This window comes from Homo sapiens, chromosome 15, assembly GCF_000001405.40.
Source record: "Homo sapiens chromosome 15, GRCh38.p14 Primary Assembly".
Taxonomy (NCBI): Eukaryota; Metazoa; Chordata; class Mammalia; order Primates; family Hominidae; genus Homo; species Homo sapiens.
This window is the reverse complement of record NC_000015.10, coordinates 45,633,736-45,655,119: the sequence shown is the minus strand read 5'-3', so window position 1 is coordinate 45,655,119 and position 21,384 is coordinate 45,633,736. Positions and strand designations below refer to the sequence as shown.

Genomic DNA, 21,384 nt, shown 5'->3' with positions numbered 1-21,384 from the left:
TAAGGTTTTCCTTTTAATGAAAAGCAGCCCCAAATCATTTTCCTGTCTAACAAAAGCAGCCTGTAAAATCGAGCTGCAGACATAGATGCTGGCAATCATGTTCAAGATGGCGGCTCCATTTTCCCTTTGCTTTGTCAGCCATGTGTACAGTAAGGAGCAGACAAGATGGCCCCAACTAAGGGGAAAGTTCATTTGCATAATAAGATGAGGGTGGGGAGGCCAGCCTTCCTGATGCACTATGTAAACATCATACCTGATCAAACCAATCTGTGAGCCCTATGTAAATCAGACACCGCCTCCACCAACCTGACTATAAAATCTGACATATCCACCACCGGCCACGTCTTTCCACTCAGAAGACCCCTCTCTCTCAATAGAGAGAGTTGTTTTTCTTTCTCTTTTCTCCTGTCTATTAAACCTCCACTCCGAAACTCCTTGTGTGTGTCCATGTCCTAAATTTTCCTGGCGCAACACGATAAACCATGGGTATACACGCCAGTCAATGTAGCCACTTCACTAGCTCCCTTCCAGTCTAATACTTCATGGTTCCTCTCTTGAAAATTTACACAAATATTTCCCTCACTCAGCCAAGAAGGCTACTTCTGCTTTATTTCATTAATTATCCATAGCCTATTCCTGGATTCAGTATTTATAAATAAAAAGTCCTCTGAACCAGATTTATTGACATCATTAATAGTCATGAAGCAGAATGTCCTGGCCTTTGCAGTCAAATTTCACTTTCCAACTATAAGAAACAACTTCACAAACACAAAAGAATGTGTTATAAGAAATGTCCAAGTTTCAAAATGCCCAAAAATCTCAATTACTTTCTAATTCTAACAATGTAACATCACCTAAACTTCCAAATCAGAAAACCCAGAACCATAATCCAACCCTGCCTATAGAGAAGGTGGAGCATGATGCAATGTCAAAGACCAGAAACAAACCAGGGCAATAATGCAGAATCATAATTTTTTAATGCCACTTTTTTTTTTTTTTTTTTTGAGTCTCACTCTGTCACCCAGGCTGGAGTACAGTGGGGAGATCTTGGCTCACTGCAACTTCCACTTCCTGAGTTCAAGCGATTTCCCCATTTCAGCCTCCTGAGTAGCTGGGATTACAGGCACAAACCACCATGCCTGGCTAATTTTGGTATTTTTAGTTGACACAGGGTTTCACCATGTTAGCCAGGCTGGCCTCATGTAATCTGCCCGCCTTGCCGTCCAAAGTGCTGGGATTACAGGCATAAACCACCCCACCCAGCCTAAATGCCACTTTTAAACCATGGTGTAATATAAAACATATTCTGTCTTTGTTCCTGGTTCCCAGCTCCAAGTTCCTAAAACTCTTGGGATTACCTGAGTGATGGAAGTGTCATTTGTTTTTCATAATGAGTCCCTGAGTTTATGCTAGTAAGGTGACTCAAGGTGGGATCCCTAGATGGCTTCAGGAGGGGGCTGGTCACCAGAAAAACCAAACACGTGACTACGATTAGAGGGTTGGAACTCTCAGCCCCACCTCTAACCTTGGGAGGGAGAATGGGGCTGGAAATTGAGCTCTATAACAAGACAAGAGCTTCTGGGTTGGTGAACTCACTGATGTGCTGGATGGTGGTGTGACCGGAGAGGGCCTGTAAGCTCTGCACCACCCTGCTACCTTGCCCCATATGTCTCTTCCATATGGCCATTCCTGAGCTGTATCCCTTATACTAAACCAGTAAACTGAGGTAGAGTGTTCCCCTGAGTTCTTTGAGTAGTTCTAGCTGATTATAGAACCTGAGGAGGATGGATCATGGGAGCCTTGGGATTTGTAGTCAGCTAGACACAGGTGTGGGTCCCCTTGGGGCCAGCAGCAGATGCCCTGCCTGGCTGGCGTCTGAAGTGAGGGCAGTCTTGTGGGACTGAGCTTTAAACTACGGGGCCTCCACTAACTCCGGGAGCTAATGCCACAATTGAATTGAATTATTGGGCACCTAGTTGGTATTGATTGGTATTGAAAAAGAGAACATATATTTGATGTTAGAAGTGGCATCAGAAAACATCACTTAGGAACCAACAGTAATTTCTGACATTGACCTAAACCAAGTTTATAGCAACAAGCAGAGAAAGATAAAATTGAAGGAAGCAACAGCCACACAATCTTTCTTTTTTCTTTTTTTTTTGAGGCGGAATCTTGCTCTGTCGCCCAGGCTGGATCTCGACTCACTGCAACCTCCACCTCCCAGGTTCAAGCAATTTTCCTGTCTCCGGCCCCCACGAGTAGCTGGGATTACAGGTGCCTGCCACCACACCTACCTAAGTTTGTATTATTAGTAGAAATGGGGTTTCACCACGTTGGCCAGACTGGTCTTGAACTCCTGACCTCAAGTGATCCACCTGCCTCGGCCTCCCACAATGCTGGGATTACAGGTGTGAGCCACCGTGCCCGGCCAGCCACACAATCTTAACGAGAAGGCAAAAAAAAAAAAAAAAAAAAAAAAAAGGAGGCTCACGCCTGTAATACCAAAACTTTAGGGAGGCTGAGGTGGGCGGGTCACTTACTTAAGATCAGGAGTTTCAGAACAGCCTGGCCAACATGGTGAAACCTGGTCTCTACAAAAACTAGAAAAAAGTAGCCGGACCTGCCGGCGTGGTACCCCGTGCATGTAATCCCAGCTACTGTGAAAGCTGAGGCACAAGAATTGCTTCAACCTGGGAGGTGGTGGTGGCTGTGAGCTGAGATCACACCCCTGCACTCCAGCCTGGGCAACAGAGTGGGACTCTGTCTCAATCAATCAATCAATCAATCACTCAATGGAAGATCAAACTGGACCCTAAAGTCAGCAGAGAAGAAATAGAAAACTGAAAACTTCTGTCAACAAGGAGCATAAATCTGATATGATTTCTTAGTCTCCTCAGAAGATAGCCTGAAACATACAGCTTTTTTAAGAAATAAGAATTAACTACCGGCCGGACGTGGTGGCTCACGCCTGTAATCCCAGCACCTCAGGAGGCCAAGGTGGGCAGATCACTTGAGGTCAGGAATTTGAGACTAGCCTGGCCAACATATCAAAACCCCCTGTCTACTAAAAATACAAAAATTAGCCAGGCGTGGTGGCACACGCTTGGGAGGCTGAGGCACAAGAATTGCTTGAACCCAGGAGGCGGGGGGTTGCAGTGAGCTGAGATCATGCCACTGCACTCCAGCCTGGGCAACAGAGTGAGAGTCTGTTTTTAAAAAAAAGAAAGAAGAAGAAGAAGAAGGAGAAGGAGGAGAAGGAGAAGAAGAAGAAGAATTAACTACCAATGATACAGGAGAATGCAGCCACTTCATCTCTACATTCTTACAAGATGAAATACACTTAAAAATCAAGGCCGGGTACGGTGGCTCATGCCTGTAATCCTAGCACTTTGGGAGGCCCAGGTGGGAGGATTGCTTGAGGCCAGGAGTTTGAGACCAGCCATAGCCAAGATGCCAAAACCCCATCTCTACCAAAAATACAAAAAAAAAGAAATTAGACGGGCATAGTGGCACATGCCTGTAGTCCCAGCTACCTTGGAGGCTGAGGTAGTGAGAGGTGACAGCGTGCTGGCAGCCCTCGCAGCCCTCACTCGCTCTCAGCACCTCCTCGGACTTGGCATCCGCTCTGGCCATGCTCAAGGAGCCCTTCAGGCCGCCACTGCGCTGTGGGGGCCCCTCTATGGGCTGGCAGGGGCCAGAGCCAGCTCCCTCTGCTTGCAGGGAGGTGTGGAGGGAGAGGCGCGGGCGGGAACCGGGGCTGCCAGCGACGCTCGCGGGCCAGCACGAGTTCTGGGTGGGCGTGGGCTCAGCAGGCCCCGCACTTGGAGTGGCAGGCTGGTGCCACAGGCCCGGGCAGTGAGGGGCTTAGCACGGGCCAGCAGCTGCGGAGGGTGCACCAGGTCCCCCAGCAGTGCCGGCCCGCAGGTGCTGCGCTTGAATTCTTCTCCAGGCCTCAGCTGCCTCCCCACAGGGCAGGGCTTGGGACCTGCAGCCCGCCATGCCCCAGCCCCCCAGCGGTGGGCTCCCACACGGGTGAGCCTCCCTGATGGGCGCCGCCCCCTGCTCTGTGATGCCCTGTCCCATTGACCGCCCAAGGGCTGAGGAGTGCAGGTGCGCGGTGCGGGACCCGGGGGCAGCTCCGCCTCGGCTCTGGCACGGGATCCACTAGGTGAAGCCAGCTGGGCTCCTGAGTCAGGTGGGGACTTGGAGAACTTTTACGTCTAGTTCAAGGTTTGTAAAGGCACCAATCAGTACCCAGTGTCTAGCTAATCTGGTGGGGACTTGGAGAACCTTTATGTCTAGCTAAGGGATTGTAGATACACCAATCAGCACTCTGTGTCTAGCTCAAGGTTTGTAAATACACCAATCAGCACTCTGTGTCTAGCTCAAGGTTTGTAAACACACCAATCAGCACCCTGTCAAAACGGACCAATCAGCTCTCTATAAAAACAGACCAATCAGCTCTCTGTAAAATGGACCAATCAGCAGGATGTGGGTGGGGCCAGATAAGGGAATAAAAGCAGGCTGCCCGAGCGAGCGGTGGCAGTCCTTTCTGGTCCTCTTTCGTGTTGTGGATGCTTTCTTCTTTTGCTCTTTGCCATAAATCTTGCTGTTGCTCGCTCTTTGAGTCCACACTGGCATTACCCTTATGTGCTGTAACACTCACTGTGAAGGTCTGCAGCTTCACTCCTGAGCCAGGGAGACCACGAACCCACCAGAAGGAAGAAAGAAACTCCAAACACATTCGAACGTTAGAAGGAACAAACTCCGGACACGCCGCCTTTAAGAACTGTAACACTCCCCACGAGGGTCCACAGGGTGATTCTTGAAGTCAGTCAGACCAAGAACCCACCAATTCCGGACACAGTAGGAGGACGGTTTCAGCCCAGGAAGTGGAGGTGGCAATGAGTCAAGATCATGCCATTGCACTCTAGCCTGGGCGACAGAGCCAGACCACATTGCAAAGGCTTAAAAAAAAGTCAGGCACAGTGGCTCGTGCCTGTAATCCCAGCACTTTGGGAGGCTGAGGCAGATGGATCACTTGAGGTCATGAGTTAAAGACCAGCCTGGCCAACATGGTGAAACCGCATCTCTACTAAAAATACAAAAATTAGCGGGCTGTGGTGGCACATAACTGTAATCCCAGGTACTTGGGAGCCTGAGGCAGGACCCCCACTTGAACCCGGGAGGCAGAGGTTGCAGTGAGCTGAGGTCACGCCAGCCTGGGTGACAGGAAGACTGTCTCAAAAAAACACACACAAAAACAACAACAACAAAAAGCATTGCCCATATCCCACCTTCTCATTTCCCCTTACCCCAGCAATTCTTAAAAAATGAGGCCAGGCACAGTGGCTCACGCCTGTAATTCCAGCACTTTGGTAGGCCAAGTCAGGTAGATCACCTCAGGCCAGGAGTTTGAGACTAGCCTGGCCAACATGGTGAAACCCTGTCTCTACCAAAAATACAAAAAAAATTAGCTGGGCATGGAGGCAGGTGCCTGTAATCCCAGCTACTCAGGAGGCTGAGGCAGGAGAATCAATTGCTTGAGCCAGGGAGGCGGAGGTTGCAGTGAGCCAAGATTGCACCACTGCACTCCAGCCTGGGCAACAGAGCAAGACTCTGTCTCAAAAAAAAGAAAAAGAAAAACATCAATAAATAAGGTAAATTTAACTTTCATTTACCAAATGGCACATGCAATATATTTTATAATCAAATAGTATTATGCTTTTAAGTTAGATTAAAATTCCTCTATTCTAAATTGATTGTGTCCCTCCTTCAAAGGATGGGAATGAATGCTTTGATATGACTGCAGTCTAACTGGAGAAGTAAAGTCCCTGTTGATTGAAAGATAAGACAGCGGACTGGGCATCCCCTACTTCCATCACTGGCCCCTAGTTCCAGACCTGGTCTGGACAAGTCTTTGGGACTTCATACCTTTCCACTACAGCCCTTCCTGGACAAGCAATACAGACTGCCTGTGTCAAAAGCTTCCTAATCTTATGTCACATGACATGGTTTGTGAGCAGCCAGGGCACCTGGCAGAGTTCAAACAGAGCTGCTGGCTAAGCAAGAATTACTCAGAGCATTCTTAATGAAAGATTCACCAAGCCAAGGATTGTCATCAACCCTTCAGCTATTTTTGCTTTTGAGGACACAGTGGGTCTTTGATTTACAATTGTTTCCTCTCAAGCCTAGGCCAGGCTGGGCCCACTCTGCTTTGGGTTTCAATAACCACAGGGCCAACCTTTAACAGATCACCTTTGTAGAACACTTCCAAAATCAAAGAGGAAAACAGTCTAATCATTAAACAGTGTCCAGCTCTTGTTGCCTACTCTGTTCTTCCCGCCAGACCTGGCCCAAGCTTACTGTGAGCTGTTGGTCTGGATCTCTGTAGCTTCCTGTCTCAGGGCACGAATGAGCACTGTGTACACGGCACAGGTCAGGCTTACACCTGGTGCCCAGGTGGAGGGACTGTTGGAAAACTCCTCCTCCTCCTCAACTAAATCCTCCCACTTGGGCTTTCTGGGCGTATTTAATTAATTAAGTCAGCCCTAATGCTATTATCAGTTATTTACACCTCTTAACCAAATATTTTCTTATTTCAAATCCAGAAGACAGGATTTGGTAGGAAAATAATCTATTCTGGCTGGGTGTGGTGGCTCACGCCTGTAATCCCAGCACTTTGCGAGGCCAAGGTGGGCGGATCACGAGGTCAGGAGATGGAGACCATCCTGGCCAATATGGTGAAACCCCGTCTCTCCTAAAAATACAAAAATTAGCTGGGTATGGTGGCACATGCCTGTTATCCCAGCTACTGGGAAGGCTGAAGCATGAGAATCGCTTGAACCCAGAAGGCGGAGGTTGCAGTGAGCCAAGATCGTGCCACTGCACTCCAGCCTGGTGACGGTGGCGCAAGATTCCGTCTCAAAAAAAAAACAAAAAAACAAAAAAACAAAAAACTATCATTGAAATAATAACTAACATTTATTGTTTACCAGTTGTACTTGTGCTGTCTCAAAGACTCCTCATAACCTTATAAATAAAATCCCCATTTTACAGATGATAAAATTGAGGGTTTGAGTAGAGATAGAGAACTTGCCTAAGGTCACATGACTAAGCAACAGAACTTAATTCAAACTATCTAATAATTCAGGAAAAATGCCTGTTGGCTGAAATTATTTTATTTTATTTTGTTTTTGAGACAGTCTTGCTCTGTCACTTGTCGCCCAGGCTGGAGTGCAGCAGCATGATCTCCACTCACTGCAGCCTCCGCCTCCTGGGCTTAAGCGATTCTTGTGCTTCAAGTCTCCCGAGTAGCTGGGATTACAGGCACCCACAACCACGCCCAGCTAATTTTTCTACTTTTAGTAGAGGCGGGATTTTGCCATGTTGGCCAGGTTGGTCTCAAACTCCTGGCCTCAAGAGATCCACCCGCCTTGGCCTCCCAAAGTGCTGCGATTTACCGGCCTGAGCCACCGGGCCTGGCCCAAGCTACTTTAAATTTGAATGAAAATAAAATAATCCCAGCACTTTGGGAGGCCAAGGCGGGCGCACTGCTTGAGCTCAGGAGTTCGAGACCAGCCTGGGCAACAGGGCGAAACCCCATCTCTACTAAAAGTACAAAATTTAGCCAAGCGTGGTGGTGTGCTTCTATAATCCCAGCTACTAGGGAGGCTGAGGCAGGAGAATCACTTGAACCCAGGAAGAGGAGGTTGCAGTGAGTGGAGACTGCCTCACTGCACTCCTGCCTGGGCCACAGACAAAGACCCTGTCTCAAAAAAAAAAAAAAAAGTTAAAGTAGCTTGGTTGAATCCCATGGAGTGAGGTGGGAGGTGAGAGTGAATATATGTTTTGTTTTGTTTTGTTTTTTTCTAACAGAGTTTCACTCTGTTGCCCAGACTGGAGTGCGGTGGCATGATCTCGGCTCACTGCAACCTCCTCCTCCCGGATTCAAGCGATTCTCCTGTCTCAGCCTCCTGAGTAGCTGGGATTACAGGCGCCCACCACAACACCCAGCTAATTTATATATTTTTAATAGAGACTGAGTTTCACCATGTTGGCCAAGCTGGTGTCGAACTCCTGACCTCAGTTGATCCACCAGCCTCGGCCTCCCTGTTACTAAATTTTAGCTTACTAAATAAACTGAAAAGAAAGAAATTAAGTTTTTTTGGCAGAGAAGGGCAAGGTACAATAATAGTACTGATTTAATTTTTTAGGAGTCTTTATCTTTCAGAAATATACACCGAGATTCTTATAGTTGAAATGACTCGGAATTTGCTTGAAAATATTTTAGGAGGTGTAAGTGGGTAGGGGTGTAGATGAAACAAAATGGGCCATGAGTTGGCAATAATTTGAAATCAGTGGATGGATATATATGGGCATTCCTTGTGGCAGTCTATTTTTGTACATGTTTGATGAAAGTTTACACAATAAAAACTTAAAATGAGTGAATGAATGAAAAATTTAAAAAAACTATGTCAGAGTGAACACTGGTTTTGCTCTTTAGTCACTGAAATGTTAAGGTTTGGGCATATTTCAATAATAGCAAGATATTAGCAATACAAGTAATAGCAACACAACTTATAATCATACATCCTCCCATGTGCATAGAGCTTTACAATTCACAGGGCCCAAACCTGAGCCCACACCGGAAGTATTGATATCACTTTACAAATGGGAAAACTGAGTTCCAAGAGGTGAAGTCACTCAAGGGTTTCACACAATGCATCAGCAGCAGGGCCAGAGCTAGCATGAATTCTTTTTCTGACGAGCAACTTTTTCTGAATATCCTTTGCAGCAGCAATGCAGGCATTAGCAGGAGCTAGCAATTCAGAGAAGGAGCAATTCCCAGTCTGCACCTTCCAGCTCCAGGGATGGCCTCTCTGCTGCGATAGGGCAGAACAGAAGAGTCCTGCATCTCTGGGTGGCCCCACATGCTGTCTCCTAGAGGGGCCGGCCTCTAAGCAGGGGCAGATCTGGGTTTTATGGGCATTGAACCCTATACAATTTGGGGCTTCAAATCTGGGGTTTCATAACCCAAAATTACCAATACAAAATTAGATACAATATCCAATATGTATTTTGAATGAGAAAGTAAATCACAACAAATACCTGTATCCTTGGTGAGTCAGGACCCTTTGTTCTGCGATCTCTTTTAGAAAATGTATCAGAAATACAAACATAGCAATGCTTGCTAGTTACAAGCTGGCTGCCTCCTGGAACATGGGAAAACTCCCTGCACCCACAGCCAATAAAGGGTCAAAACAAGATTTAACTGGAGGAGGTGAAAGGAATGAGGGAGGCAACCAAAGCAAACATCATCATTTCCCTATTACATGAAGGACATTCCTGGAAACTGGCTCACAAGATTATAGAAGCTAAGTCCCAATTCTGTAGTCAGCAGGCTGAAGACCCGGGAGAGCCTATGGTACAGTTTCAGTCTCAAGGCCAGCTCAAGACACAGGACAAGCCATGTTTCAGTTGACTCTCAACACAGAAGAACATCCGATATCCCAGCTCCAAGACACTCAGGCAGGCAGGGCTGATTGTCTCTCATTCACGGGAGTGTTCGCCTTTTTGTTCTACTGAGGCTTTCAGCTGATTGCGTAAGGCCAACCCACATTGGGGAAGACAATCTGTTTTGCTCAATCTACCCATTCAAATGTTACTCTCATCCAGAAACCCCCTCACAGGCACACCCAGAATACCGTTTGACCAAATTTCTAGGCACCCCATAGTCCAGTCAAACTGGAACATAAAATTAACCATCACACCCTCTGACTTAAACTCTAAGAAGGCGGGTCTAAATCTGGAAATACCTTAAAAAGGAAATTGTTACTGTCACCTGATTAGCATGACTTTGGTTGCCAAGAAAATGCCAAACATTAGCCCATAAATGAGATCCTTAGCATAATCTCCTCTTAATCCAAAATACATGCAAGTAACGTGTCCAGTAATATTTACAGCACATATCAATGGCACTGCATTAGATACTTCATGAAACCAGGAAGGCAACTGACTGTTTCCCCTTCCTGTCAATATTCTGAATCCTGCTGTATTAATTCTGTTTTTCATTGTCTGTATTTTTTTATGGTTTGACATTTTGGGGTCTTGCTAATCCCAGAGACTGCCCCTCCCAGGACTAGCTAACTCTGAGAGATGGTAAATGGCTTGCCTGGCTTGCCTATGACCACACCTTTGATATGTAAACCAATCAATCCAGAGCCATATTCTGAACCACCTCCTCTATTTGGCTTTAACCCTGCAAGAGGCAATTTTCCCCTGCCCTTATTATTCCAGGGCCAGGCATCAGACAACTACAACTATAGGCAGCTCATGAATCCTGGAGCACTCTAAAATTATTCAAACTAGCCAATCCCAAACCTAGCCAGCCCTTTCCCCTGCCTCACAATACAGTCTTTTGCCTGTTCTTTCCCCTCACTTTTTCTGCCCCTTCACCTACGCAGGTGCTTTCCCATATGGCCCCATGTGAGGTGTTATGCCTCCTGTTTCTAGGGAACTGTGAGTAAGAGCTTCTTCCTTCATGGCAGTCACCTCCTGATCTGTTGGCCTCACCATACTTGATTAAAACAAATCCCAGGTACGTTGTAATACATCTAGATTAAAATGCATGTGCCAACTATTCAGTCAGATGGAAGCTTTTACATGTTTAACACATTTTTGCTCGGCTTCTTCTCCTCACATATCCACTAAACTGTCAGGCGGCATCTTAAAAGCCAGGCGCGGTGGCTCATGCCTGTAATCCCAGCACTTTAGAAGGCCGAGGCAGGTGGATCACTTGAGGTCAGGAGTTTAAGACCAGCCTGGCCAACATGGTGAAACCCTGTCTCTGAAAAATACAAAAATTAGCCAGGCATGATGGCGGGTGCCTGTAATCCCAGCTACTCAGGAGGCTGAGGCAGGAGAAACGCTTGAACCTGGGAGGCAGAGGTTGCAGTGAGCCGAGATCGCGTCACTGCACTCCAGCCTGGGCACAACAGAGCAAGACTCCGTCTCAAAAAGGAGAAAAAAAAAATACGCCGTCTCTATGCCGTCTCTAAAATGCAATTTAATTACATAGTACCGAAGAATGTTACAATTTGTGGGTGATTGAGCTAAATTTTTATAAATTTTTGCAACTAAATAACATAGCTACAGTTTGAGTTTTTAAGGCAGTAACCGCTCTAGAAGAAGCAGCACGTGGCCTTCCTTTCCTTTGTCATATACTATCCTCCATTCTATTGAAACTTAAGATATCTTCTCCACCAAGAAAAATCTTCACATCTATTTTATCCATTTAACCTTGATAAAGGAGGGCATCAGCCAGAAGTGCTCAGAAAAGAAGGTGAGAAACAAGTTTTCTGCAGCATATAAGTCTATGTGCAAATTCAGGTTTATACCTACACTGAATTTGTCTCAATCACACAGGGGCTAAGTTTGCAGAACTGAAAATCAGGAAAGATAATCTAAGCTGAATTTTTATTAGGAGAATTTTTACCTGCGCAAATGATATACGATTAAATTACTTACATTTAGCTATGCTAAATATGTAAGTGTATCTTTGTGAAATAGACTTACATGAAATTCGCATGGTCACAATTCTGCTGCTGTTTAAGAATGTTTCCAGGCCAGGCATGGTGGCTCACGCCTGTAATCCCAACACTTTGGGAGGCTGAGGCAGGCGGATCATGAGGTCAGGAGATTGAGACCATCCTGGCTAACACAGTGAAACCCTATCTGTATTAAAAATACAAAAAATTAGCTGGGCGTGGTGGCACGCACCTGTAGTCCCAGCTACTTGGGAGACTGAAGCAGAAGAATTGCTTGAACCTGGGAGGCGGAGGCTGCAGTGAGCCGAGATCGCACCACTACACTCCAGCCTGGGTGACAGAGCAAGACTCCATCTCAAAAAGAAAAAAGAATGTGTCCACAAGTATTCATTGAGCGCCCACTGTATGTAAGGATGCAAGCTGAGAGACAGCAATTTCTCCAGGCCTGACCCCCTCCCACTCTTTTAGCTAGGGCATTGAGGCTTTACATGGGAAAACAAAGTTCTGGAAAGTGATCGCACAAAGGGGCAGCTTTGAGTAAGAGAATCTTCTGGTGTTGGAACAAATTAACCCTCCTGTTGGAGGAGAAACAAAACCAGTTTCACATGGGCTAATTTTGACAAATCAGTTAGGAGACTATTGGAGTGGTCCAGGTGTGAGCGATAAGCTCCTGAATTAGGTGTTAGCATTAGAAATGCAAACAAAGATTCAGATAAGATAGAGGCTGGGAAGAGAGAATAATTTCGGAAGACGTGGGAAAGGCTTCTGGAAGAAAAAAAAAAGTCAAAGTTGACATCTAGACAGCTGAAGAAAAAGGAATTATGTGAGCAGAAAAAGGGAAGTTATGTCAGGGACCTGTTCGGGCTACTTTTGGACAGTTGGGTTCAAGATTTTGAAAGGAGAATCACTTGCAATGAGAATCTCCTAACGGTGGATATAAAGGAGGGCAGTCTAGCGCTCTGGGAAGAGGGAGAAATGAGATTGGATAGGCATGTGTTACTAAAGTTTAGGTCTGAGAGCTTATTCCCAGACAATGGCAATTTGATCTAGGAGTCACAAAGCAGCAACCTGCAGGCCAAGTGCAGGCCAGAGCTGTGTTTTGCTTGGCTCACAGTGCTTTTCTTGAATTTTGAATTAGTCATCAACATTAAAAAATTTGGAGATCTCGACAAAAAATATTCCAGATTCTTGGCCTCTAACACTAAGCCCACATTCTCACATGGAAACTCTTGGCTGGAGCTGAGCAGTCATTGGTCTTCTCCACCATGCACAAGGTTTCAGTTCACTCCAGCCCCACTCAGCCTATGTTGTTCATTTGTTACCTGCTCAGCCCTGGTGTGCATTTCAGCCTGTGGTTACTGCTAATGGCAGTGAGAGCCCTTGGAAGGTCTTAATAAAACTGGATTTATAAAGAGTCCCCAGGGGAAGCTGAGAGGATGAACTGGAGCAATTCAGTTGAGTTCAGCATTTTTGATTGTTTACTAAATGCCAGGGATTGTGCTAGGCACTGCACAGCCAGTGATGGGTAAGAAGAGTCTGTCTGTTATAACAGGAAAGACCAGGAATATGAAGATCCATTAAGCGGCTGTTTCAGAAATTCAGGCACAGTGAGGGTGGGGTCTGAATGGGAACAGAGATGAGGGGTGTGAATGTGAGACACACATTGACATTTTTGCGACAATCAGCTATAGGGGATAAAGAAGAAGGAAGAATGTGAACGATGACATTATATCCACTTGTTCAGGTGAATATAATGAAGACAGGATGTGAGCAGCAATACTAGAATTACTCAAAGTGGAGTAAAGGTCCAAGGCACTGTGAGGGAGAAGGAAAGCACCCCCCTTGAAAACTGAATGAGTGTTGTTCCGAGAAAGGATAGCAGCTGTGCTCTTCCTCTTGGCACACCTCTGCTTGAGTAATGGCAGTGCTATTCTTGCCTTGTGTGTTCAGGAACTGGATTACTATACTGTTAACAAATAAAGAAAATGGAGCAATCTTCACTTAGCCCTGCAGGGCCATGTTGAAACTCTCCCTCTGGAGCTGTTATAAATCCAAACATTTGTTTAAATATTAAGCTGTGAAGCAAGTACACCAGTAGTGGGCCAGGACTGAGTCACTGGGGAAATAGGAACAATCTATATAGCTCTCTGATGATTCAAGGACTGGGAGCTGCACTGGGGTTCTTTAGTTCCCTCACTCTTCAGGGGCAAAACTGTAGGAATTTTCTTTGCAGAGTTACTGATTAAGAGTTGCTAATGAGGACTTTACAATGAAACAGTGGCTCCCTTTGCTCCTGAGAAATTTCCTACAAATTATCCTGACCTATCCTTATTTTACAATCAGAGAATGCATTGTAACAAGAGAACTGACAATTTCACCAAACCAATACAATTGCTAAGCAGAAAACACAAATTATATTTACATAAGGAAAATGCTTGCATTCAGATTCCAGGAAAGAAAAAATATGTCAGTCAATTGGATTATTTCAAATGAAAGTTAAGAGTTTTGACTGAATTATATAGGGGGAAAAAAAATGAAAGAACACCTTGTTTTTCTGCTTGCTGTAGCCAGTGGGAGCCTGACTTCTCACATTCTAGTACATAAAGAAGCACGACTTAGCTCCCCTTCAACCCCACCACTCATAGTTGGCCTCTGGTCAGGTAATTTTCAGGTTTCCTTTCTAGTCTGTATATGCCTGTGTGTGCCCATCTGCAGACTGTAGGACATGACTCACTGGAAAAAGAAGCCTGAGGTGGAATCAGTGTACTCCCAGTCACACAACAGGGATGAACTTGTTTTCCTGAGTTTGTTAAATGACCACATTAAAATTACTCATCAGCCTCAGGAGCATTGGGATTTCCACTCAGAGTCTCACATGCAAGGAGTTCACTGTAAACGGGACTGGCCATTTCATTCAAGTATATCATTCCTTGGAATCCAGTGTGTGAGGTCTTACCATAATGAGAAAACACTCTTTAATTTCAAGGTATACATTTGCTATTTGGACATAGTTGGAGAGACTCTAAACTCAATCCTTTAATAGTTGAGACAGAATGAGGTGTAGACAGCTCACGTCTCTTCTGTGTCCAGCTAGATGACAATGACCCGTTCCTGGTGAAGCTTTGTCTGAGGGCATATCAAGAGTCAAGAGACCCAGGACCACAGTCCAGGGAGTGCTAGGTACAGCTCTTCCTGACCCATTTTGGGCCATGCTTTCTTCATCAATGGAATAAAGGATCAGATTGGGTGGCATCAAAGGTCCCCTGCTTCTCTAAAACTTTGCTATCCTCTAAATGAGAAAAGGAAAATGGAAGTTCACAAGCAGGCTTTCAAATGGGGACGCTTGTTCTAATAACTCCTTAGATTGATCAGAGATGTGAATTTTTGTGGCAAAGAATAACAAGGCTTTAATAAGCAGGTCTGGAACATAATTAGAATGGAAACCATTCCTCTCAATCTCTCCCCGCAAGTCCCCAAATCATTTGTGGAAGTGTTGATATGTGACAGGCATTGTGCTATGCACTTTACGTAATTACTCACAAAAACCAGAGAGGTGGGAATTATTATTCCCATTTTATAAGTGAGGAAATGGAGATTGTAAGACCATGAGATAGTCATTTACCATTTTGAGTCCATTTCCCTGAGTGTAAAATAAGTGGAGGTGTCTAGTTGCCATTAAAGACCTTTCTTACTCAATGATTCAAAACAAGCTTAGATTTGATCACCTAGACCTTGAAAGGCTCATGATTTTCCTCCAAACTCAGATGGCCCCTCATCCATCTCAAGCATCATTTATGTGCTCACAGAAACACAAAACCACATTTACTAGACCCAGCACTGTCTTGAAGAGCTCTCACAATCTATACTCCAAACATGGTGGTTGTTAAAACACATCATTTTCCTATGGAGACATCATGGGCTACCTTAGAACAAATAGCCAAAGATATAAGAAAGTTATCATAGAGTGAAATCACCACAATCCCCACTTCCAGAAGCAGCCCTCCCTCCCAGAAGTCAGGAATTGGTACCAGGATACAGACATAGCCATTTTCTCTCCATTCATGTAGCTAGGGCCAGAGCTGCTGGTTCCCAGCTAGGTGGCATGAAAGTTCCCTGAGGGCTGGGCTAGGGCCAAAACATGGAGATTCATTATGATCAGAAGGGAGTCACCCCATGGTATTTAAGGATGATCATAACATCATCACCCATCACCCACCATACATTTACAAAGTACTTACTATGTACATGGCACAACAGCTAACCTAGGTCACTTGCTGAAGAGGCCAAGTTTTTCTTTTCCTAACAGTCAAAATCATGAAGCTGAATATGGCTTTAACAACTTCAGGCAAGATCCTAGGGACCACACAGGGTGTCTGTAGAAGGAAAGTACATGGGAGACTCTTCTGCATAGGTTGGGTAAGAGATCCTAAGAGCAAGTGATGGACATGTCGGGATCATGACTTAAAAGAGATGGTGCCTAGTTGTAGCCATTTTTTTTAAACCTATTGTCCATTTGGTAGAACCAGTTGTATTAATTTTCTAGGGCTGCCATAACAAAACACTATAGACTAGATGAAGTCTAGAGAACAGAAATTTATTTTCTCAAAGTTCTGGAGATTGAAAGTCCAAGACCTCAGTGCTGATGAGACTGGTTTCTCCTGGGATCTCTCTCCCTGGTTTGCAGATGGCCACCTTCTCAGTGTGCCTTTGCGTGGCCTTTTCTCTGTGCACATGTGCTCCTGACGAGTCATCTTCTTATAAGGATACTATTCATATTGGATTAGGGCTCCACCTTAATGACCTAACTTAATTTTCCTTTTTTTTTTTTCTTTCTTTCTTTTTTTGAGACAGAGTCTTGCTCTGTTGCGCAGGCTAGAATGCAGTGGCATGATAATCTTGGCTCAATGCAACTTCCTCCTCTCCGGTTCAAGCAAGTCTCATGCCTCAGCCCCCTGAGTAGTTGGAATTACAGGTGCACACTACCCCACCCAGCTAATATTTTGAATTTTTAGTAGAGACGGGGTTCCTCTATGTTGGCCAGGCTGGCCTCAAACTCCCAGCCTCAAGCGATCTGCTTACCTCGGCCTCCCAAAGTGCTGGGATTACAGGCGTGAGCCACCGTGCCTGGCTAATTATTCTTTTATTGAGACAAGGTCTTGCTATGTTGCTCAGGCTAGCCTCGAACTTCTGAGCTCAAGCAGTTCTCCCACCTCAGCCTCCCAAGTAGCTGGGGCTACAGGTGCTCACCACCACTTCTAACTAAGGCACTATCTCCTAATACAGTCACATTCTAAGATCCTGGGGGCTAGGGTTTCAATATATGAATTTGGTGAGTCCATAACACCAGTATTTGCCCTTCCCAAAGTTACAGACATAGATAGTCCCAGTGTGTTCTAAATTTCCGAGGGTTTTTTTGTTCTGTTTTGTTTTTTTCCACAAAGTTCTCTACCTCCTGTCCCAATTTAGCACTTTCTCAATGTAAATCACAGGGATGGTTGGCTAGATCTACTTTTCTTTATTATTATTACCACCTACATCTGGGGATTACAAAGATTTTTAAGGCTGGGATTAAGAAGCAACTAGTTGGCTTCCAGCCAGGTCTGGGCAGCTTTCCATAAGCTATCCAAACTGCTCCTATTTACCAAGTCTTCAGAGTCAAAGAGGAGTTATATAGTAGATAGTGGAGCAGGGAAACGTGAAAGGAGAAGAAAAAAGTACATCTATGCCCAGAAATGCCTTGTCATGGGTCCGTCTCCATTCTTTATAAGACATTTCCTGTGTTACAACACATCGGATTAACAAAGCTAGACACAGGCAACATGGAGGAGAAACTGTTCTGCAAAGGAATCCGGTTTCCTTTCAACATTCAGTTTCATTTTCACTGGCAGAACACCAGCCACACAGACACGCACACACAGACCCTGGGCCCTGACTGACATTTCAAACACCCCCGTTCCAAATGTGTTTATATATTTTTCCAGCCAGAAAAAAAGCCCCAAATTTAAACAAAGTCATTTCCCAAACCACCAGCTGTCTCCTTAATGAATTTTGTTTTTTGGACTTAGTCACAAGCAACCCTTTCTGACCCACTTATTCATTCAATAAATAATGAGTACCTCCCCAGGCTTGGGGATATAAGGCCATAAGCTTGGGAGGGATACAAATAAGTTCTGATAAATGGTATCTACTTCAGCCCTCTACACTAAGTGCAGTGCTGGGTGCCTTAAATACTTGGGAAGGTGTTATTATCTCCACTGTACAATGAAGAAGCTGAGGCGAAAAGAAATTCAAAAGCCAAAGTTAAGCTGGGTGTGGTGGTTGCTTTGGGAAGCAGACAAGGGCAGATCACTTGAGGTCAGCAGTTCAAGACCAGCCTAGCCAATATGGTGAAACCCTGTCTCTACCAAAAAATACAAAAATTAGCCAGGTGTGGTGGTGGGTGGCTGGTGTAATCCCAGCTACTAGGGATGCTGAGGCAGGCGAATCACTCGAACCTGCGAGGAGGTTGCAGTGAGCAGAGATCACCTCACTGTACTCCAGCTTAGGCGACACAGCAAGACCATGTCTCAAAAAAAAAAAAAAGCCAAGGTTACAATGGGCCTTGGAAATGTCAATGGAAGTGTCAAGCCCAGAAGCCAAGTCATTGGGTCAGTGCCCTTTCTACTATCAGAGGATCTTAACCTGGACCCAAAAACTTAGATGGAAAAGTATTTTACATCTTTATTTTTACGGATATTTAATATTTACATCTTTTATTTCTCTAGTATCTAACTGAAATTTAACATTTACTTCAATTATGTATGTAGCCAACAAACCACAGCAGTATTGGCAATACTAAGACTTTGTCACCAATAGAAATCACAGATATTGGCCGTGCGCAGTGGCTCATGCCTGTAATCCCAGAACTTTGGGAGTCCAAGGTGGGCGTATCACAAGGTCAAGAGATCGAGACCATCCTGGACAATATGGTGAAATCCTGTCTCTACTAAAAATACAAAAATTAGCTGGGTGTGGTGGCACACACCTGTAGTCCCATCTACTCGGGAGGCTGAGGCAGGAGAATCACTTGAACCCAGCAGGCGGAGGTTGCATTGAACCGAGATCGCGCCACTGCACTCCAGCCTGGTGACAGAGTGAGACTCCGTCTCAAAAAAAAAAAAAAAAGAAGAAAGAAATTACAGATATTTTCTTATATTACAAGTATTACCTATATCTTGAAATAATTGTTTATGTTCTTTACTACTTCAAAATTATGGTAACTATTTAATCCACTGCTAGATCTTGTTATTTAATAACCTTGTTATTAAATAACGCATTCGTTTTTTAAAGACATATATATTACCATATCATAAATTCTTTTAATGTTTTGACATGTGTTTTGCAATTGGTTTCCTTTATAATACTCTTCCTTTTGTTTTATACCTTTAAAAAAGCATTGTTCTGGTCCAGCGCGGTGGCTCACTCGTGTAATCCCAGCACTTTGGAAGGCCGAAGTGTGCGGATCATTTGAGGCCAGGAGTTCGAGACCAGCTGGGCAACATGGTGAAACCCGCCTCTACTACAAATACTAAAATTAGCCAGGTGTGCTGCGCCTGTAATCCCAGTTACTCGGCAGGCTGAGGCAGGAGAATCGCTTGAACCCGGGAGGTGGAGGTGGCAGTGAGCCGAGATCGCGCCACTGCACTCCAGCTTGGGCGACAGAGCAAGACTCTGTCTCAAAAAAAAGTATTGTTCTGAGAGTCTTTAGCCTTCCCAGAAATGCCAAAGGGGTGCACAGCACAAAAATGGAACAGAGCCCTGCATTATAGCAATGGGCAGCGCAGGCAAAGCCAGGGGCTCTGTTCAGCGTCTTTGAGCAAAAAGCCAGGTTGGAATTTTGATAAATAAAAGAGACAGATGAAGAGGAAAGGAAATGAGCCCAGATTCCACCAGAAGACCCCTTCTCCCTTTCCACCAATTCCTGTTCAGCAGGTGCCCTAAATCCTCTCCCCTTCAGGTTTCAGCTGCAGCCGACCCCTCGAGCGCCCCCTCTGTCCCACGCGCAGTGTCGGTGGATGACTGTGTCAATCCCTGGCCCCCGGACGCCGAGCACCCACTCCCGCTCCAGGACGGTGCCGAGTGACAGTCAACAGGTGGAAGGCGCCAGAAACGTCCACACACCAAGACCACGGATACTTCGGTTTTTAAGCACCCCTCGCGGGTTGGCCTCTCCGCGGCCCTGAGGCTCTGACACTCTGAGAAGGAAGCAAGAGTCCCAAGACCCGGGTTCCAGACAAGGGCAGCAAGAGCTGCAGGTGTCCGGAGTTGAGGAAGCAAAGTTTGGGGCGCGGCGCACCGGGTCTGCGGAGTCCCAGCTGCGGAAACCGAGTTAAGCTAACAAACAGCCTCAGTGGTGGTCGCTGTCCCCGCCCAGTCTCCCTCCGCTGGCCCAGGGCCAAAGATCGGCCGCGGATGCCTCTTACCCGGGCGTGAGCGGAGCCTTCGGTCACTGCGTTGGCGCAGCAAAAACCTTCGCTCCCTTCTGGGTCTCAAGGCCTGGACTGGGGCCCCGCCCGCCTGCCATCCGGGCGGAGGCTGGAGGCGGGGAAAGCGAGGCTCCCCCCAGGAAAGGTCCCGAAAAGTCCCGCCGTGCCCCGCCCGGCGCCGCAGCCCAGGCACCATGGTCAGTGAACACACCAGGGCGTTGAGCGCTCACGGGGCACAGAACCAGGAACAAGCGTCCATCCGGCCTGGGGTGCTGCCGGCTGGACAGACTCGCCCCTTGCGCGCCCTGAAGGGCGGCCCCGCAGGCTGGGGCGCACAGGCGGAGGACACCGAGGCCACCTGACGCTTCCGCCCCTGGGTGCCAACAGCGTTTTGTAATCAGGGCAGGCAAAAGCGGAGGCGGGGCGCTGTGCAGAGAGGCTCTGGCTGTTCCCACTGGGTCCTCCTATGTGCCCTGGGCTTCTCACCGGGTTCACACAGCTGCCCAGAAACACAGGTATTCCCGCGCTCATTTCACAGAGAAGGTGACCGAGGTTCAGCTTTGGTGTGCGCTGGAGCCCTTCCTTCAAAACGCGCAGGCAGGGGTAAGCTGGCTTCCAGCCACTGGCCTCCACAGTGTCCCATCCCATATTCATGACTGGACATTTTCAGTTGGCGGCTCTTTCCAGGTTGATGTAAAGTCTCAGTGAGTGGTTCTCCACCATATCAGATTCAGTAACCCTTTTTACAATAAATACAGGGTGTCCCAAAAGTCTCATAACCTGAGAAGTGCAAGTGCTAGAAGCTTTCAAAAAAACAAACAAAAATAAACCCTTGAAAGTTTGAGTTTCTTTTACACTTATTTGGTTTTATGAATTTTGAATATATATATATATATATATATATATAGTTGTTGTTGTTGTTTTTTGAAACAGAGTCTCACTGTGTTGCCCAGGCTGGAGCGCAGTGAGTAGAGCAATCTCGGCTCACTGCAACATCTGCCTCATGGGTTCAACCAATTCTGGTGTCTCAGCCTCCTGAGTAGCTGGGACTACAGGTGTGTGCCACCATGCCCGGCTAATTTTTGTATGTTTCAGTAGAGATGAGGTTTCACCATGTTGGCCAAGCTGGTCTCAAACTCCTGGCCTCAAGCGATCTGCCCTCCTGGGCCTCCCAAAGTGCTGGGATTACAGGCGTGAGCCACCATGCCCAGCCTTGAATATTATTTTTTTAAATGTTTTCAACTGATACTTTCTATCTTTAATCAAAGAGACTGACTGTATCTATGGCAAAATCATCATGAACAATACAATACAAACGCAGACTGTAGACTTTTATTGGTAACTCAATTCCATCTGCAGCATTGCTTCTG

At 46.0% G+C, this 21,384-nt stretch overlaps 1 protein-coding gene across 2 annotated transcripts in view, besides 7 other annotated features; it reads right to left on the bottom strand.

Moving 5' to 3' along the window:
* The window catches only part of SQOR (sulfide quinone oxidoreductase), a 60,134-nt gene that overhangs the window by 36,162 nt on the left and 2,588 nt on the right, over positions 1-21,384 (bottom strand). Inside the window, exon 1 of one of the 2 annotated variants that reach the window (NM_021199.4) lies at positions 20,012-20,091. The exons of the other annotated variant lie outside the window; for it this stretch is intronic. The gene's annotated coding sequence lies outside the window, so the exon portion shown is untranslated. Of the gene's footprint in view, positions 1-20,011; positions 20,092-21,384 lie in introns of those variants that run through there. 2 annotated transcript variants of the gene reach the window in all.
* Positions 13,283-13,332: an enhancer, noted in NCBI's record as "active region_9369". NCBI's record gives its function as "activates an Ori minimal core promoter by ATAC-STARR-seq in GM12878 lymphoblastoid cells {active_cell/tissue: GM12878}" and the evidence as "EXISTENCE:reporter gene assay evidence [ECO:0000049][PMID:35858748]".
* Positions 17,321-17,380: an enhancer, noted in NCBI's record as "active region_9368". NCBI's record gives its function as "activates an Ori minimal core promoter by ATAC-STARR-seq in GM12878 lymphoblastoid cells {active_cell/tissue: GM12878}" and the evidence as "EXISTENCE:reporter gene assay evidence [ECO:0000049][PMID:35858748]".
* Positions 17,411-17,490: an enhancer, noted in NCBI's record as "active region_9367". NCBI's record gives its function as "activates an Ori minimal core promoter by ATAC-STARR-seq in GM12878 lymphoblastoid cells {active_cell/tissue: GM12878}" and the evidence as "EXISTENCE:reporter gene assay evidence [ECO:0000049][PMID:35858748]".
* Positions 19,320-19,369: an enhancer, noted in NCBI's record as "active region_9366". NCBI's record gives its function as "activates an Ori minimal core promoter by ATAC-STARR-seq in GM12878 lymphoblastoid cells {active_cell/tissue: GM12878}" and the evidence as "EXISTENCE:reporter gene assay evidence [ECO:0000049][PMID:35858748]".
* Positions 19,400-19,489: an enhancer, noted in NCBI's record as "active region_9365". NCBI's record gives its function as "activates an Ori minimal core promoter by ATAC-STARR-seq in GM12878 lymphoblastoid cells {active_cell/tissue: GM12878}" and the evidence as "EXISTENCE:reporter gene assay evidence [ECO:0000049][PMID:35858748]".
* Positions 19,952-20,947: an enhancer, noted in NCBI's record as "H3K4me1 hESC enhancer chr15:45926371-45927366 (GRCh37/hg19 assembly coordinates)". NCBI's record gives its function as "activates a minimal SCP1, AML or CMV promoter by ChIP-STARR-seq in primed H9 embryonic stem cells {active_cell/tissue: H9 hESC(primed)}" and the evidence as "EXISTENCE:reporter gene assay evidence [ECO:0000049][PMID:30033119]".
* Positions 19,970-20,139: a silencer, noted in NCBI's record as "silent region_6411". NCBI's record gives its function as "represses an Ori minimal core promoter by ATAC-STARR-seq in GM12878 lymphoblastoid cells {active_cell/tissue: GM12878}" and the evidence as "EXISTENCE:reporter gene assay evidence [ECO:0000049][PMID:35858748]".